The sequence below is a fragment of the Homo sapiens genome, chromosome X, assembly GCF_000001405.40.
Source record: "Homo sapiens chromosome X, GRCh38.p14 Primary Assembly".
Taxonomy (NCBI): Eukaryota; Metazoa; Chordata; class Mammalia; order Primates; family Hominidae; genus Homo; species Homo sapiens.
In genome coordinates this window covers 108,042,544-108,060,320 of record NC_000023.11, presented here as the reverse complement: position 1 = coordinate 108,060,320, position 17,777 = coordinate 108,042,544, and the positions used below count along the sequence as shown (strand labels likewise).

The 17,777-nt window shown below is 37.2% G+C and overlaps 1 protein-coding gene across 6 annotated transcripts in view; it reads right to left on the bottom strand.

Annotated features, from left to right (window-relative positions):
- Positions 1-17,777, bottom strand: part of VSIG1 (V-set and immunoglobulin domain containing 1) — a 60,306-nt gene that overhangs the window by 18,864 nt on the left and 23,665 nt on the right. For 4 of the 6 annotated variants that reach the window (XM_005262127.5, NM_001170553.2, XM_047442072.1 and 1 more), the window contains exons 1-2: positions 15,142-15,256; positions 2,120-2,283 (exon numbers count right to left, since the gene is read on the bottom strand). In XM_005262127.5, coding sequence (XP_005262184.1) covers positions 2,120-2,283; positions 15,142-15,190 — 213 coding nt within the window. In that variant the 5' untranslated portion in view covers positions 15,191-15,256. Of the gene's footprint in view, positions 1-2,119; positions 2,284-15,141; positions 15,257-17,777 lie in introns of those variants that run through there. The other 2 variants (XM_011530936.3, XM_047442073.1) reach the window with 1 other exon arrangement.

Below are 17,777 nucleotides of genomic sequence, written 5' to 3'. Positions count from 1 at the left end.
GTTTTGCCTGATCCAGCAGCTCAGTGCAGAGGCCCTCCTTTGATGTGGACATTCCAAAAGAGTATATATCTTAAATCACTTGCCCCACCTGTACCTGACATTTTGAAGAATGAAGCAAATGGCAAGTAAATAAGCTACTCAATAAATATTTATTTGTTAACAGATTTTTTTTTAAAAGTGCTTCTAAGAGATGTTCTGGGCTCAGGCCACACTCAATTCAATCACCATATCTTCTTCCCTTGCATTTCCTGGTATAGAAAAAGCTCATTGCTGGTCACAGGATCCTTCGGCTCTGCAGCTCCCTCCCAGTTCCTCACTAGACACACAGTTCAACCAAGAGGTAGCCTTGTAAATCCCAGTGTCAGAGGAGGCATAAATAAAAATTTGTGGCCTTGCCCATCCTTCAGGCAGTTGAGAACATCTTGATTTGAATATCAAGCAGAAAATATTTCAAAATACATTGGCAAGGTCTCCCTAAATCCAGCCCCACCTGGCAAAATGAGAAGGATTTCAAGCCTACAGATAAAGAATGTGTTGACAAGACTAGTCCGGAAATTGAATTTCAAAAAGGAAGAAAGGTCATGTGATTATTGCCATCTACAATCTAACAGAGCATCCTGCAAAAGAAGGCAATAATTTCTTAGTTGACTCCTACATACAAGGCCTTGGGTCTGGACATCTTGGGTGATGGAAACTGGTAGAAGCACTGTTGGTGGTGGTGCTGCTGTGGATGATGATAATCATAATAGTGTTTACAAGGGATAAAACTTACAGAGCTTTATATTTTTCACATGCATTATATCAGTTGATTCCCCATGGGTATTGCTGATCTACCATATTTTAAAGAGAGGTGCAGAGTGATTCAGATACTTGTCCAAGGTAACCAGTATTGAGCAAAATTGTTTAACTTGGACTAGAGAGTGGCATTGATGGAATCTCCCCCTGTACGGCATTTCCTGCTAAACAAATGCTCAGGATTTGTAAACAGAGGACTCAGCACTTCTGAAGGACTAGTGATGGCTGAAGTGACACTGGCCAACGTGTGGCTCCTCTAAACTAATGCCTTCTTTCTTCTCCACCCCTGTCCCTAGGCCTCCCCCAGCCTCCTCAACTTGCTCTCCCTCTATCTTTCTACTAATCAAAACCTTTCTTTTCCTTCAAGGCCCAATTCAGCTGCATCCAACTATTCCAAACCACACCGACTTGTCTCTTCTCTAAACTCTGCTTTGGGTCATGCAGCCTTTTGAGAACCTGATGAAAGCTACAGACCTTTTCCATCAAGGGATATGTGTAGGCATGCATGGCATATGTGCTCACATAAACATGTGCATGAACACACAAACACACACACGCACGTGCATATGCATGCGCACACACACACACACACACACACACACCTTTGAGTATACAATTTGAATCTTTGGGCTAAAGAAGGAATTTCCCTCAAGGCCTGATGAAGGAAACCTGGGAATAGGCAGCTTGCATGTGAAATCATTCTCCTCCCTTGACTTTCAACCCATCCTTTTCTGGCAACCTCTTCCCCCTGACCCTATGCCTACCCACTCCATCCCCTGTCCTCTATCCTCATGCTGTTCTTGATGAACTACGCAGGGTTCATCACTACTATGGCCCTTCTTCATCCATCTGAAGAGTCTCATTCTGTCAGGCCTCAGTCTAGCACAGTGAGCTAGTTCACTTGACAGCCAGATCCTAGATATTAAATTTGGCAGAGATCTGCAGATCAATCAGGACTTGCATTTGAACTAGTTTCTTCTGGAAATAATAGGGAGATAAAGGTGGAGGGGGAGCCCTTTCAGAATTACTATTAATTTCACCTATGAGAAGAACCATTTCTGTCTTCTCTAAAATACATGATCCACTTGATGTGGACCTACACAGACCGAGATAATGGGTTATAACTAAATATGAAGAGAGGACAAGAGTCAAGTCACTTAGATGATGATCTTCTCTATACAGCTGTCTTCAAACTTTTTGTATCTGAGATTCCTGCCACTACTGTCACTGGCATGCCATTCTTTCACATTTCACATTTTTTCTACCCCAACAGTTTTCAGTCAGAACTACAAAAGGGGAAGAGTTTAGGAAAAAGTGTCCTTACAGAAATTGGCTCCATCTCCTTCTTATGGAAGAAAGACCACTGGATGGAAAGCTGTTCTCGGGAGGCCACAGTGGTGGTGTAGATGCAGATGAGAGTGACATTAGATCCAACAGTCACGTTCACGAAACCGTCTGGGATGGTCACTTGCACCACACTAACCTGACCTGAAAAGATAATCATAAAAAAATCAATAGTACATACTCAAATTCTGATAACACTGTTTCATCACAGAACACTTACAAAGACATCCTATTTGAGGAATCCAAGGTGAGGGGAAGAAGGTAGAATAAACCATACAAGAAAGTTGAGTTTTCTTGGGGCTCACTGGGGTAGTGGGAGGAGAGTTTCTAACAAATTATCATATGAAGATACTCAAATTCTAGATGATGGTGTGGTAATAACACTGAACTGAGAATTTCTTCTGTGTTAAGGGCGGCCTTACACAGGTTCTTAAAGTCTTGTCCAGGGACCCAAAACTGTCTGGTAGTATAGAGAACAACTGACTCAGTTTTCCCAGTACCATGGGAATTCCTTGAATGTGGGACTTATAGTTTTAAAATCAGGTAAATCTCAGGCAAAACATATCAGTTTCTTTTTGGGGTCCTCGATAATTTTTAATTAAAATTTTTATTTATATATTTGTAGATTCACATGCAGTTCTAGGAAATAAGACAGATCTCATGTACACTTTACCCAGTTCCCAGCAATGGTAGCATTCTGCAAGATGGTGGTATAATATCACAACCAGGATACTGACATTGATAAAACCTATCGACCTTATTCATATTTCTCCAGTTTTACATGTACTGCTGTGTGTGTGCACATGCACATTTAATTCTCTATTTTATCATGTGTAGATTCGTGTATTTACCACCACAGTCAAGATATTGAACAGTTCCATCACCACAAAGACCTCTCATGTTGACATTTTTATAATCACACTCACCTCCATCCTGCACCTCATTCCTGTCCTAACCATGGACAACCACTAATCTGTCTTTCATTTCTAAAATTCTGTCACTTCATAAATGTTATATACAAGGAATCATGGTAACCTTTTGGAATTGATGACTCTTTTTACTCAGCATAATTATCTAAAATTTCACCCAAGTTGCTGTGTGTATCAGTAGTTTGTTGTTTTTTATTGATTTGTAGTACCCGATGATATATATGTAATACAGTTTGTTTAACCATTCATCCATTTAAGGACATCTGGGCTGTTTCTAGTTTTTGGGTATTGGATAAAACTCCAGTGAACATTCAGGTACAGATTTGCATGAACATAAATTTTTATTTCTCTGGCACAAATGCCCAACAGTGCAATTGCTGGATCATACGCCAGTTGCATATTTTATTTTATTTTAAAAAACCAGCCAGGCTGTTTTCCAGAATGACTGTACCTTTATACATTCCCCTCACCACCACCAAATAAAAGGATTCCGTTTTCCTGCATCCTTACCAGCATTTGGTGTTGTCACAGTTTTCTACTCTAGCCATTCTGGCAGGTATGAAGTAATATAATCATCGTGGTTTTAATTTGCATTTCTCAAATAGATAACGATGCTAAATATCTTTTAATGGGATTATTTGCCATTTGTACATCTTCAGCAAAATATCTGTTTATATCCTTTGCTCATTTTCTAATTGGATTGTTTAGTTTTTTAATGATTGAGTTTTGAGAGTTCTCTATATAATCTAGATGCAAATCTTTTGGGGATAGAGAGTTTTATTTCTTCATTTCCAATTTGTAGGCCTTTTATTTATTTTTATTGCCTAATTGCAGTGGCTACAACTTCCAGTACTATGTTGAATAAGAGAGATGAGAGTGGACATCCTTGCATTGTTTCCAATCATAGGGCAAAAGCGTTCAGTCTTTCACCATGAAGTATAATGTTGGCTGTAGGTTACTTGTAGGTGTTTTTATCAAGTTGAGGCAATTCTCCTCTGTAGGGGGTTAAATTGTGTCCCTCAAAAAGATAAGTTCAATTTCTAACCTCCAGTATATGTGAATGTGACCTTATTTAGAAATAGGGTTTTTGCAGATGTAATTAAGGATCCTGAGATGAGATAATCACTGATTTAGAGCAGACCCTAAATTCAATGACTGTTGTCCTTATAAGAAAACGGAGAGGGAGGCTTAACACAGAGACTCACAAAGGGAAAGGCTCTGTGAAGACAGAAGCAGAGACTGGAATGATGCATCTATAAGCCAAAGAATACCGAGAATTGCCAGCAGCCATCTAAGAGAGACTTATGGCACAGATTCTCCTTCAGAGACCTCAGAAGAAACCAACAGTTTGATTTAAAACATTTGGCCTCCAGAACTGTGAGAGAATTAATTTCTCTTGCTTTAAGCCACCCCATTTGTGGCAATTTGTTACAGCTGCTCTGGGAAACAAATACACCCTCTATTCCTAACTTGCTGAGTTTTAATGATGAATGGGTATTGGATTTTGTCAAATGCTTTATCTGCATCAGTTGATATGATCATATTTTTTTTTCTTTAGCCTGTTGATATGGTGGATTACACTGAATGCTTTTTGAATGTTGAACCAGCCTTACAAACCTGAAATAAATCCCATTTGGTCATGGTGTATAATTCTTTTCATACATTGTTGGATTCAATTTGCTAGTGTTTTGCTAAGGATTTTTGTGTCAAAGTTCATGAGAGAGATATTGGCCTGTAGTTTTCTATTTTTGTACTGTTTTTGTCTGGTTTTGGTATCAGGATAATACTGGCCTCATAAAATGAGTTGGAAGTGTTTCCTCCTGTTCTATTTTTTGGAAGAGAATGTGTAAAACTGATCTTAATAATTCTTTAAATGTTTGCTAGAATTATTTGCTGAAGCTATCTAGGCCTGGAGATTTATTTTGTAGGAGCTTTTAAAATTATGAATTCAATTTCTTTAATGGTTATAGAGCTATTCAGATTATCCATTTCATATTGGGTGAGTTCTAGTAGTTTGCTGCTTTGGATAAATTGGCCAATTTTTTTCTAAGTTGTCAAATATATGAATGTATAATTGTTCATAATATTCTCTCATTATATTTTTAATGACTGCAGGATCTATAGTGATATTCCATATTTCATTTCTGATATTAGTGATTTGGGTCTTAACTCTTTTTATTAGTCTTGCTAGAAGTTTGTCAGTTTTACTGATTTTTTTTTCAGAAAAGCAAATTTTTGTGTTATTAATTTTTCCCTATAGTTTTTCTATTTCAAATTCATTGATTTCAGCTCTTTATTATTCCCTTCCTTCTGCTTGCTTTGGGTTTATTTTGGTCTTCTTTTCTAGATCCTTGATGTAGAAATTTAGGTTATTGACTTAAGACCTTCCTTTATTTCCAATGTAAACATTTAGTGTTAGAAATTTCTCTCTCAGAATTGCTTTATCTACATGGTACATATTTCAATATGTTGTGTTTTCATTTGCATTCAGTTCTACGCATTTTTAAAAAAATTCCTTTTGAGATTTCCTCTTTGATCCACGGATTATTTAGAACAGTGTTGTTTAATTTCCACGTGTTTAGATACTTTTCTGCTACAGATTTCTAGTTTCATTGCATTGTAGTCAGAGAATATACTCTGTATGATTTCAATTATTTTAAATTTGTTTAGGTTTGTTTTACGGCCAAGCACATTATCTATCTTGGTGAATGTTCTGTAGGTGCCAAAAAAAAGTGTGTTCTGCTGTTGTTGGGTGGAGTTTTCTATACAAAGAGATATAATTTAAAACCACTATGGAAAAACCAATATAAAATCGTAAAAATATTCAACTGGATCCTGTTAATTGACTGTCTTTTTCAGATCTTCCCTATATTTACTGATGTTCTGTCTAGTAGATTTATCAATTTCTGAGAGGGGGTATTGAATTTCCCAACTATAATTGTGGATTTGTCTCTTTCTTCTTTTAGCTTGATCAGTTTTTGTTCATGAATTTTGAGACATAGTTGTTTGGTGTGTACCCATTAAGGATCATTGTATCCTCCTGCTGGATTGATCCATTTATCATTAGGTAATGTCTCTGTTTATCTCTTTTAACTTTCTTTGCTCTGAAGACTATTTTATCAGATATTAATGAAGCTTCTCCAGATTTTTGAAAAATTAATACTTATGTGGTACATCTTTTTCTATATTTTTACTTGCAATCTTCCTATGTCATCAAATTTAATGTGAGTTTCTTGTGAATAGCATATAGAGTAGTTCCCCCTTATTCCAGGGAGATATATTCCAAGACCCCCAGTGGATGCCTGAAACCATGGATAGTACTGAACTCTATGTATACTATATATATTTTTCCCCCATACACACAAACCTATGATAAAGTTTAATTTATAAATTAGGCACAGTAAGAGATTAACAATGATAACTACTAATAAATAGAACAATTATACCAATGTACTGGAGTAAAAATTATGTGATTGTGTTCACACACTCACACTCTTTCTCACAAAATATCTTATTATACTGTACTATGGGTAACTGAAACCTCAGAAAGTAAAACCACAGATAAAAGGGGACTACTGTAGTGGTATTCGCATTCAATATAATTATTTAATGTAATTATTGATATATTATTCTTGTTTGCTATTTTATTATTTGTTTTTTGTTTGTTCCCTTTAGTTCTTATTCTTCTGTTTCCCTTTTCTTGCTTTTCTGATAGTTACTTGAGCATTTTTTATGATTCCATCTTGACTTATTCATAGTGTTTTAAAATATATATCTTTGTAGAGTTTTCCCAGTGGTTTCTCTGGGTATTCAACATTCATGTGTGAGTCATAACAGTCTACTCATATCAATATTTTACCACTTTGATTGAAGTGTATAAACCTCACTTCCATTTAGTTTCCTTTACCTTCCCCACTTTTAAATATCATTGTCTAGAGTATAAAATGGTGTTATAATTTTGCTTCAATTATCAAATATGATTTATAGAACTCATGAGTTAAAAGATAGTCTACTTTATGTACTTACATTTCTGCTCTTTCTGTTGTCCTTTCATCCTTCCTGATTGCTCTTTATCATTTATTCTCTGTTTGAAGAAATCCCTTTAGCTATTTTTTAACAGTATGTCTGCTAGCAACAAATCTTTTTGTTTTCCTTCAACTGAGAATTTAATTATTTCCCCTTAATTCCTGAAGGATAGTTTCACCAGATATGGATTCTATTTTCTGTCATCTCTGCTCTTCTATTGAGTCCATCAGCCAGTTTTTCATTTTTGTTATTTTATTTTACAGTTCTATAATTTATATTTGTTTTTTGGGGGGAGGGGACAAACAAGCCAGTTTTATTCAAAAAATAATTCCAAGGGGGAAAAAAGAAAACTGAGAAAGAGCCTATAGATTGTAAGGGTCTTTAGAAAAATAGTAGATAATTGCAAAGTATGTATTTTTTAAATTCTTGTTTTTAACTTAATTTTTATTTTAATTAATTAACAAATAATTATTGCATATATTTATGGGATACAATGTGATATTTTAATATATGCATACACTGTGGAATAATTACATCGAGCTAATTAACATATCCATCACCTCACGTAATTTATCCTTTTTTTTGTTTTTTGTTCTGTTTTGTTTTGTTTTCAGACAGGGTCTCACTCTGTCACCCAGGTTGGAGTGCAGTAGTGTGATCTCGGCTCACGGCAACCTCTGCCTCCCAGGCTTAAGCAATTCTCCCATCTCAGCATCCCGAGTAGCTAGGACCACAGGCACATGCCACCATGCCCAGCTAATTTTGTGTGTGTGTGTGTGTGTGTATTTTTGGTAGAAATAGGGTTTCACCACGTGGCCCAGGCTCTTCTCGAAATCCTGAGCTCAAGTGATCCACCTTCCTTGGCCTCCCAAAGTGGCGGGATTACAGGCATGAGCCACCACATCTGGCCTACCTATCTTTTGTTTCGTTTTGTTTTTTTCATAGCAGGAACATTTAAAATCTATTATTTTTTTGAATACTTTTTTGGGGAACAGGTGATGTTTGGTTACGTGGATAAGTTCATTAGTGGTGATTTCTGAGATTTTGGTGCCCCCATTACCCGAACAGTGTACACTGTACCCAATGTGTAGACTAAAATCTTATGCTTTTAGCAGTTTTGAAATGCACATACATTATTATCAACTATGGTGAGCATGCTGCAAAATAGGTCTTAAAAACTTATTCCTCTTGTCTAACTGGAACTTTGTACCCTTTGGTCAACTTCTCCCCATTTCCCACTCCCTCCAAGCCACAGTCCCTGGTAACCATTCTACTCTAATTCTGAGTTCAACTCTTTTAGATCTCACATATAAGTGAGATTATGTGGTGTTTGTCTTTCTGTGTCTGGCTTGCTTCACTTAGCATAATGTCCCCCAGGTTCATTCATGCTGTAGCAAATGACAGAATTTCCTTCTTTCTTATATTTTTATAACTTCTTTTTCTTTTCTGCAAGTTTCCTTTTTTTTCTTTATTTGTTTTAAGATAATGTTAATTGATTGTTGAGGCATTTTTATGATGGCTACTTTGAAATCCTTGTCAGATAATTCCAACATCGAACTCATCTTAATGTTGGCAGTAGTTGCCTTTTCTCAGTCAAGTTGTGATTTACTTGATTCTTGGTATGACAGATGATTTTTGATTGAACATTTTGTCTACTATGTTAGGAAACTCATATTTACATTTTTTATTTTTGCAGTCAGTCACATTATTTATGCTTCACATGCAAGCAGGTGTTGGCTTACTTTTGTGGTCTGTTGTTCTAACAGCAGTTTAATTTTCAGTATTGTTTTGCTCTGTTTGGTTTATCGGATATCACTGAGGCTGACATTTGTCCCAGATCATATCGCCTGAAGGAGCAGAAAGGTTTCCCTAGGTCAGGCTTCCAGGTGCCTCTCAGTTGGGGTAGGTATGGTGGGACACTTCTACTGGCGCCCTGCACTGTTGGTGTCTCTATGGGTAGGAGAGGACAGTCATACACCCACTGAGACAGAGCCTTCCCAGACTGGGCCGCTTGCCATCACTTTATGCCTCGTGTCTGTTCTACCCTCCCACCTCGATATCTCTAGGTGAAAGTGGGACATCTCAGGCCTGGGGAGAAGGCAAATGCTTCTTTTGTCCACTGTTGTTGGTGGGGTTTCTGAAGATCCCCCCTTACCTGTGGTGTTGGGCCTACCTGATGTTGTCAGAGGGACTCTGAGGGAGGAGTAAGCTTACCTGGGCTGCCCTCTGTTGTTCAGTTGGGTATCAGGAATGGCCAGGACTAGGTTTCTTTCTTCTGCTGGGTGGGAAACATAGGATACCCTTGCTCTTTGTTTTTCCCTGGGTCTCAAACCAGTTTGCCTTCTCCTTACAACCTTCCAGAGTTCTACCCTGGTTGTCTCTTGCATTATTTCCAGGGTTTATACTTGTGCTTAGCAGGGAGGAACAATGAAAAACAGGTCTGTACTACATGTCCAGACCAGAAATCTCCCTCAGTTTTTAAGAGTGTAAAATTGTCCTGAGACCACAAATTTTGAGAACTGTTGGCCTTACAGAAAGATGAAGTAATTAAGCTCCCCATAGGATTTGGAGGCCCACCGAAGGGCACCCTACCCAAATCCAGCCTGCCACTACACTAAAATTCTCAGTTCTATATGAGCACTTTCCAAAGGGCTATTTTAGGTGATGGCACTTTGGGGAGCACTATACAGTCACTGTCTTATCTTATTAACTGGTTGCTATGCATTGCATTGTCGAAGACTATAAAAGTTCTCCAGGATGGGTCACGGGATTGGCAGGCAAGCACTGGAAGAGAAAGTCAAGTTCAAGAGACGCTCTCTATGCTGTCCTAGTTGCCTGCAGGGTAACAGAGGGTGTTGGAGGGTTGAGGGTGAAGGGATGAGGATACAGAAATTATGAAAGATTCAGAGGAAATTGCATAGAGGGACTAATTCCTGTCCATCTTCCCAATTTTGCATACCCAAAGACTTATTTATTTCATATTTTTCTTACTTAATGACAGCAGTCAGACAAAAAGAACTTAAAGGATTGACAAACACTTTTAAAAAGTAAAAGAAAAAAAATCGTTGTACTGATTACTCTTGGTTTCATGGATTCAATATCTGTGTTCTCTGTCACAGCCAGGTCACCTGGTCCAGCTGCTTTCCTGCCAGAAGCTGGCTGTTTACATGGCAACCAATGCACTGATAAATTAAGAAAAGTGCCTGAATGCAAACAAAAATGCAGCACTTTTTAACTCCATACAGTTTCCCTCTTCCCAATATTCTCCTCCCCATGCTTTCCTGGTTTCCATAATGCCTCCTCCAAAAAGGAAATTGGCTTTCAGAAAGCAGCTAATCTTTCCAACAAAAACTTCACTGGAGAAAGATGGTTCCCTCCCACCCTCAAAGAGCCCATTTCATTTCTCCTGGAAGTTAGCCACATCTCTGGCCGTGCTTAAATGATGACTTCCAAATGTCTTTAAAGTGTCCAAAATAAAAAGGATAAAACTGGGGTTTTGGTAGCCCTTAAAGTTCCCAGACTTATTCCCTAAAAACAGAGATTTTAGAGATATTATTTGGCCATAATTTTTGTTCTCTAGTTTGGGACCCAGTATCTGTTACGAGATTGGTTAAGGGTGAGAATTTATGAACAGATAAGGCAAAACAATAAACAAAACCCCACAAACCCCCTTTGAAGACCACTCTTGGAAAAAGTGTTTGATGGCAGAGTACACACAGTACTCACACAAGTCAAGCCATGGAAGAGGCTGTGGAGCCTAGCAACAAATATCAATTGAGCACCCATTTTGTGCCACAAACAGTGCTGAACACTGGGGAAACAAGAATGAACATGACAGACACAATCTCTGCCATCCCTCAGTGCAGCAGGAAGCCATTTATAGCACAGATGAGAATAGAGGTGAATGAAAATCAAGGATTTGGAAAATATAAATCTGATTCAAACATTTCTAACATTTTAAATATAGAAGATATATAAATGTGTAACTAATTAGAAATCTGCAAAAGTTTAATAATATCACCTTGGAATTAGGATGGTAATTTCAAATTTTAAAGTGAGACAATATTTTTTGAGGTACTACACATTGTCATGTAAATAAGTAACAGTTGGCAAAGCAAAACCTCCAGGCCATTTTATTGCCCAGATTCCCAATTCTTAGCACCATAACCAATTAAATTCTGAAGAAAAGATGTTTTTCAGACATTGTCCAACCATGATATAGTGATGATATGCTTCAGAGCTAAAAGTTATATATTTCCAGATGAGCCTTTTTAAAATGTCACATCATTCAATTAGTGCACATTACTTAAAACCTCTGAGCTCACCCTTACAGTGCTGTCCAACAGAACTTCCTGTGATGATGGAAATGTTCTATCTCTGCGCCATCCAGTTCAGTAGCCCAAATAGAATTATCAAACACTTGAAATGTGGCTAGTGAAACTGAGGAACTGACTTTATAATTTTCATTAATCTGAAGTGATTTAAATTTCAATAGCCACATGTAGACAATGGGCAGTGCAAACTTAGTCCTAAAGTGGAGGTGATTCTCTGAGTGTCAGGGAAAAAAGTTCCCTTCCTTTGGATTAAGTCATTCTAAGTTGAGAAATTATTTAAAAATTGAATAAGTCAGAAAAATCTCTACATCAATAGGACTGTGAATAAATAGCAAAGTAAAGATTAGTATCTGATTTAAACAAAACCCAAGAACGCAATGTCCCTCTCTGACTTGACCAAATTTAAAAACAAAACAAAAATGCATATGTGGTTGAAATATGTGTAATCTCTTTTAAAAACCAGTGCTTACCTGCACGTTGTGCACATGTATCCTAAAACTTAAAGTATAATAATAATTAAAAAAGTGCTTATTATTAAAGAAAAATAATCCAAGATGTACACACTTAATCAACATTTAAAAATATTTTTAGGCTGGGCGCAGTGGCTCACGCCTGTAATCCCAACACTTTGGGAGGCTGAGGTGGGCGGGTCGCCTGAGGTTGGGAGTTCAAGACCAGCCTGACCAACATGGAGAAACCCTGTCTCTACCAAAAATACAAAATTAGCCGGGCGTGGTGGTGCATGCCTGTAATCCCAGCTACTCAGGAGGCTGAGGCAGTAGAATCACTTGAACCCGGAAGGCGGAAGTTGCGGTGGGCCGAGATCGTGCCATTGCACTCCAGCCTGGGCAACAAGACTTAACTTCGTCTCAAAAGAATATATATATGTGTATATATATATATATATATATATATATATATATATATATATGTGTGTGTATATATATATATATATGTGTATATATATATATGTGTATATATATATGTGTATATATATATATGTGTGTATATATATATATGTGTATATATATATGTGTATATATATATGTATATATATATGTGTATATATATGTATATATATATGTATATATATATATATATAGAGAGAGAGAGAGAGAGAGAGAGAGAATGTCTTGTATTTTGGTGGTGATTGTTCATTCATTTAATGCCTACAAGGTGGCAAACATTTTGCTTATAGAAGGATTATTATCCTCCTAATGTACCACAGCAAAATATCCCCCAAATATTCATATTTAATCTGATAGATTTGAAGTGATTTAATTTCCAGCAACTTCATATATAATAGATTCATTTTGACTTAGGAAATAATATAATCAAATGATCACTCACTTTTTTGGATTTGAGTGCAAACTCAAAGTTCAAATATATTACTCCTTTAAAATGCATAGCATATACCTCCAGAAAATGAAACCCACATTAACATATCTTTCTAAGAGGTGACTAATACATATTTCAAATACCTAAAATGATATGCATAAATTTTTTGCAGAAGTTTGATTAAAACTCGTTTTCCTGAATTAGAATTTAACCTAAGAATTCCTAAGAAGTCATTGAAAATATTTTGATTTAAGCAAAATCTGACCTGTTTAGTTATATCAAAATCAATTTTAAATATGTATGTGAAAATGATGTCTGGATGTTTGGAATTTGGGAAAGTAATTCATTCTTTCAACAAACATTTACTATGCATCCACTATGTGTTAGGCACCACGCTTAACACCAAAAAGTGACATTCTCTCCAAAACAAGTCCAGGAAGAACATCAAATTGCACATTGATGGAAACACTATCAGTTGTCCAGATCAACTGATGAACACTGCTAATGACAGGTGTAGATTACTAAAGTGATCCTTTCTCTGACTTCAATACATATGTAAGCACAGCAAACGACAATAGAGCATACCACAATTTGCTGTACTGACACTACTGCTTTGGGCCAACTAGATAATATGTGTGTAGATATATAGTGTACACTATATACCAACAAAATCAGTTATATAGTAACTTAGGAAACACACTCTGAAGTATTTATTGGTCTTGTTCTAAAAGTCACAATAAAATAAAATCCTGACATGATGCTAAACAATTTTTTTAAACAATAAAAAAGTATACAAGGAATAAACCCAATTTTTAAAATGTAATATATACACCTGCAAATAAAAGAATAATAATTCACCCAAATCTGAGTGGTAAAATTGCAGATGATTTTTATTTTATTTTAAATTTCCATATTTCCAACCTTTCTACAATGACCATGCATTACATTTATAATCAGTAAAAATTACTTGTATGTTAGGTACAGTTAAAAAAAAAAAAAACTGTTCTTAACAACCGTTCCAAACCCTGTGCCTAGTATGGGCCAGGGCAAGGCTTCACATAGGGAAACAGGTATGATCTTAGAGGGCTGATGCAGAAGGCCCAGGGGTCGACCCAACTGGCTAATGACTGGAAACCCTTTAAGAAGAGACAAAACTTCCATATCTAAAGTTACATTTAAATGAATATGCCTGGGGAGAAGGGAAAATAGGAACATGTGTTTCCAGCTCTAGGGCCTAGTTAGGTCACTGGACAAATGGAGTATTGCCTTCTGGTGATGTTTAACTCCATAAAACATCTATGCTTAAACATTTAGTAATGAACATTTAAAGAACTATTTCTAAACATGAGATCACTTTGAAAAGTAACACTTTTTTCTAATTATAAAAATAGCATAATGTTCTTCGTAGAAAACCCAGGAAGTATGAAAAGCTGGGAAATAAAATTAAAATCATCTATAATCCCATCACCCAGAGGCAACCACCATGAGCACTTCGGTATATAACCTTCTAGTAATTTATTCTAGGCATATGTGTGCATCCTGCTTTTTCACTTAATATTTTATCGTGGGTATTTTCTTATGTCATTAATACGCCTAGTAAACCTCATTCTAACCACTGCCTAATATTACTAATGGCTTGAAAATCCTGTTTTTGGATAAACAATATTATTGTATTTACTATGGACCTAACTTATAAGAACAGATGCAAAATGTATCTGATATTTGAAAACTACCCAAGGGATTTTTGGAATTAATGATCTCTCCTGGATCTAACTAACATCAGTATTTTGATTCCAAAATTGATTTTCTTCTGTTCAGATACCTAAAATCACCCATGTTGTGCACCATAAATCACTCACATATTTTGCAAAATACAGTCTTAGGATTGGAAAACCACAACTCCTTAAGAAATATTAGACAGTAAAGTACTCAGTAAATTTCTGTTCTTCCCATATGTAAGCCAGGGCAGGCCCTCCAACCCAGGCTCTGCCTGCTAGAGCAAGTCAATCACTGAGCTTAAAGGAAACACTAAAGTAAGTAAAACAGAGACAAAATTATCCCTAGCACAAAGTTTGGTTTCTGAGTAAATTCATTTTTTTCACTTTTCAAAGTAAGTAAAGTAATAAACTATATTTTTTTCTGAGAAAATTTTCATTCAGAAGCTCCATAAAACAATAATATTATGGGCTTACACCCCTAATATATCAGCATGGCATATGTTTGCTAAGCAAGAGTTCTGAAAATTAACTCATCATACTAATCACAATTCATTTGAAGTACAGGAGATGAAAATTCTATGTAAAAATGTGGAATTTTTATTTAAAAGGAAACTCTGTTTCCAATTATATTTGGTGGTTTGGAGATCCTTTCCTTACCTGCAAGGCAGCTTAGGATCAGAAAGACCTTCCAAAATGCGAACACCATTGTGTGGAGGTTAGTTGAGAGCAGCAGGTGCCAGTAGCTTGCCTGGACTAGGCTGAGTCTCAAATTGGCTTCTTCGATCACACCGAGGTTTGCCTGGCTTATCTGCTGGGCATCGCCAAGCAAACATGCCTCTTTGGGCTTACTTATTGCGTATAGACTTTTTTCAGTACAGATTTGTGTTTCTTTGAAACACTTTTCATGGGGCGTGTTTCCTTGATATATTTGCTACTGTGTTAATAATAAACCCACGCATTTAAATTATTCAAGCTCCTTGTACACAGATTCTCTAAGTCTCATTGTTTAAAATCAATCTTACTAAAACGTTGTACTTGGGCTGGGGGATATGGTTGGAAGAGAGCCTATGCAAATAAAAGCTGACAAGGCTAATTAATTTCAAATATTTCCATGAGTCTTACAGAATTGATTCACTAACCTCCTTTTACAAATTAAGTTAGTAAATTGGTACTATATCGTTTCCTGGGGAGATGGGGCTCACGGGAAGGGCACAGGGGTTATGAAGCTAAAAAGCATTCATTTCTGTGTGAACAAACTCTGGATATGTTACTCTTTTTTGAAACACTGGCAGTTGTCACTACCCTCCACCAAAACTAGCAGTAAAATGATTTACATGCTTTTGTCTGTCGGGTTAGAAACCTTATAGCACGTATTTGCTAACGTAATTTTGCAAAATCAAGTTAGTGAATACATGCTTAAAGACTTTCTTTGGAGAAGTCTGATTTTTTGGAGAATTAAGATACTCAGTAAATGCTATAGGGTTTCCTTAGAAATGGAGGTTCACCAGGAGGGCATGGGAGGCTCCACAGGTAAGGAACTTTCATGGGAACATGAACTTCTAATAGTGTTCCTATTATGCTTAAGTTACCCGGAGAAACCTAAGGACTTTCTCTGGCTCTTCCCATGTGATTTCTAAGTCCTATCATTTCCATCTCCACAGCGACTTTCAGATGTGTTCTTTCTCCAATCTGCTGCTTCCATCTTGGTCCAGGTACTCAGCTTCCCACTTTGGCCTATCATAGCAGCTTCCTAAGTGGTCTCCCTGACTTATTCCACCTTCATCCTGTGTGCCAGCCGCAGGCCAATGTTCCAGCCCTAGTGAAATATTTCCAGTAACACCATAAATGGACTCTTTCATCAAATCCAAAGTCCTTAATATGGATTCCCATTCTTCCAATATCTGATCCTCACCTCATCTGAACTTTAGCCACATTAACTCATGCCCCTGAAAAAGTATGTCAAGATTTATTGCCTCAAAGTGTTCAGTCACATGAAATGTGTACAAATTTCAAGTGATATGTTTTATGTTCCTGTCTTTAATTTACAGGAAATGTTTGACCCCATCTTACTTTAGCCATTCCAATCTCCCACTGCTTCTTAGAAAGCCATTTTGCTTCCATCATGCCTGATTCCTCCTTGCAGCCTATCCTGTCCATGCTCATGTCTGATGCCAAACGTTGGCTCCAGGTGATTTCCATCACTAGAGTTTTCTTCTTCCTCCTCTTACTAGCCAAGTATATTCTTAGCATAGATCAGTCATACTGTCCTATGTGAGAATTTCAATGAACCGACATACCACCCTAGCATAAATTTCCATTTTACTTAAAGCCAATATCCTACAGCTGACCATTGATTATTCTCCAGTAGTTTCGCATTTATTAACTGGTCTACCTTAAATCTAGTCACTGTGAATCCCTCCAGGGTAGGGACCATGTCTTATACAGGCAGTTCCCAACTTTAAAATGAGCGTGTCCCAAGATGTAATGGTAAACTCGTTGACTGCACGCAAGAACTCCTGCAGAAGCAATGTTATAATATGAGTCTCACTGTCAGGCATGTAGCACATAATCTAGCACTGGCTTGAATTCTGCGTACTGGGCCGTATAAGGCAGTGGAGGGTGAGGAGGAACAGCAGGTGACAGAGAAAGAACGTTCCTTTCATTTCCCAAGATATGACTTGTGCACAAATCAACATTTTCCCCCAAATAACTATTGCATGTCTCTGACATCCACCTTCTCTTCTGCCTCCCACCTTCACGGCCCCCTGGCTCCTGGGTCCCTAGTTTGCCCTAAGGGAGAGTCTCATTCCCCAGAATATCTCATGCTCCAAAATTACTTTTTCCTTTTCACCTCTATTCCTCCCAGAAACCCTCCCTTTCCCCTGTATAAGCAGACAGCAGCTCCATGTTAGGAAGGGAAAAAAAAACGTTTCATTGAACATTCTCCAACCTGTTTGTGCTATTAAAAATACAGTGCTTACTTTCCTCACATAAATCTCTGACCAGGAGAATTAGGCAATGCAATAAAGAGAAATAGTTTGAGGGAGAAGATTTTGCAAAGGAGGACAACTTGTAGGGTGGGTCTCTGGAGATCCATACCACCTTTTCTCAGGCTTGGTTCTGCCTTGACTTCTAAGTCCACCAAGTCTCTAAAAGACCCATAGTTTTCACAATGCCCCCCACCCTGGAAGTAATACCGGTAGTTCCAGTGGTGAGGACGTGGGATGGGGAGCGAAATTTATAAGTCTGGCATTTGTAAGCCAGAAGCTTCCTGTGTTTCCTTCCATGCCCCA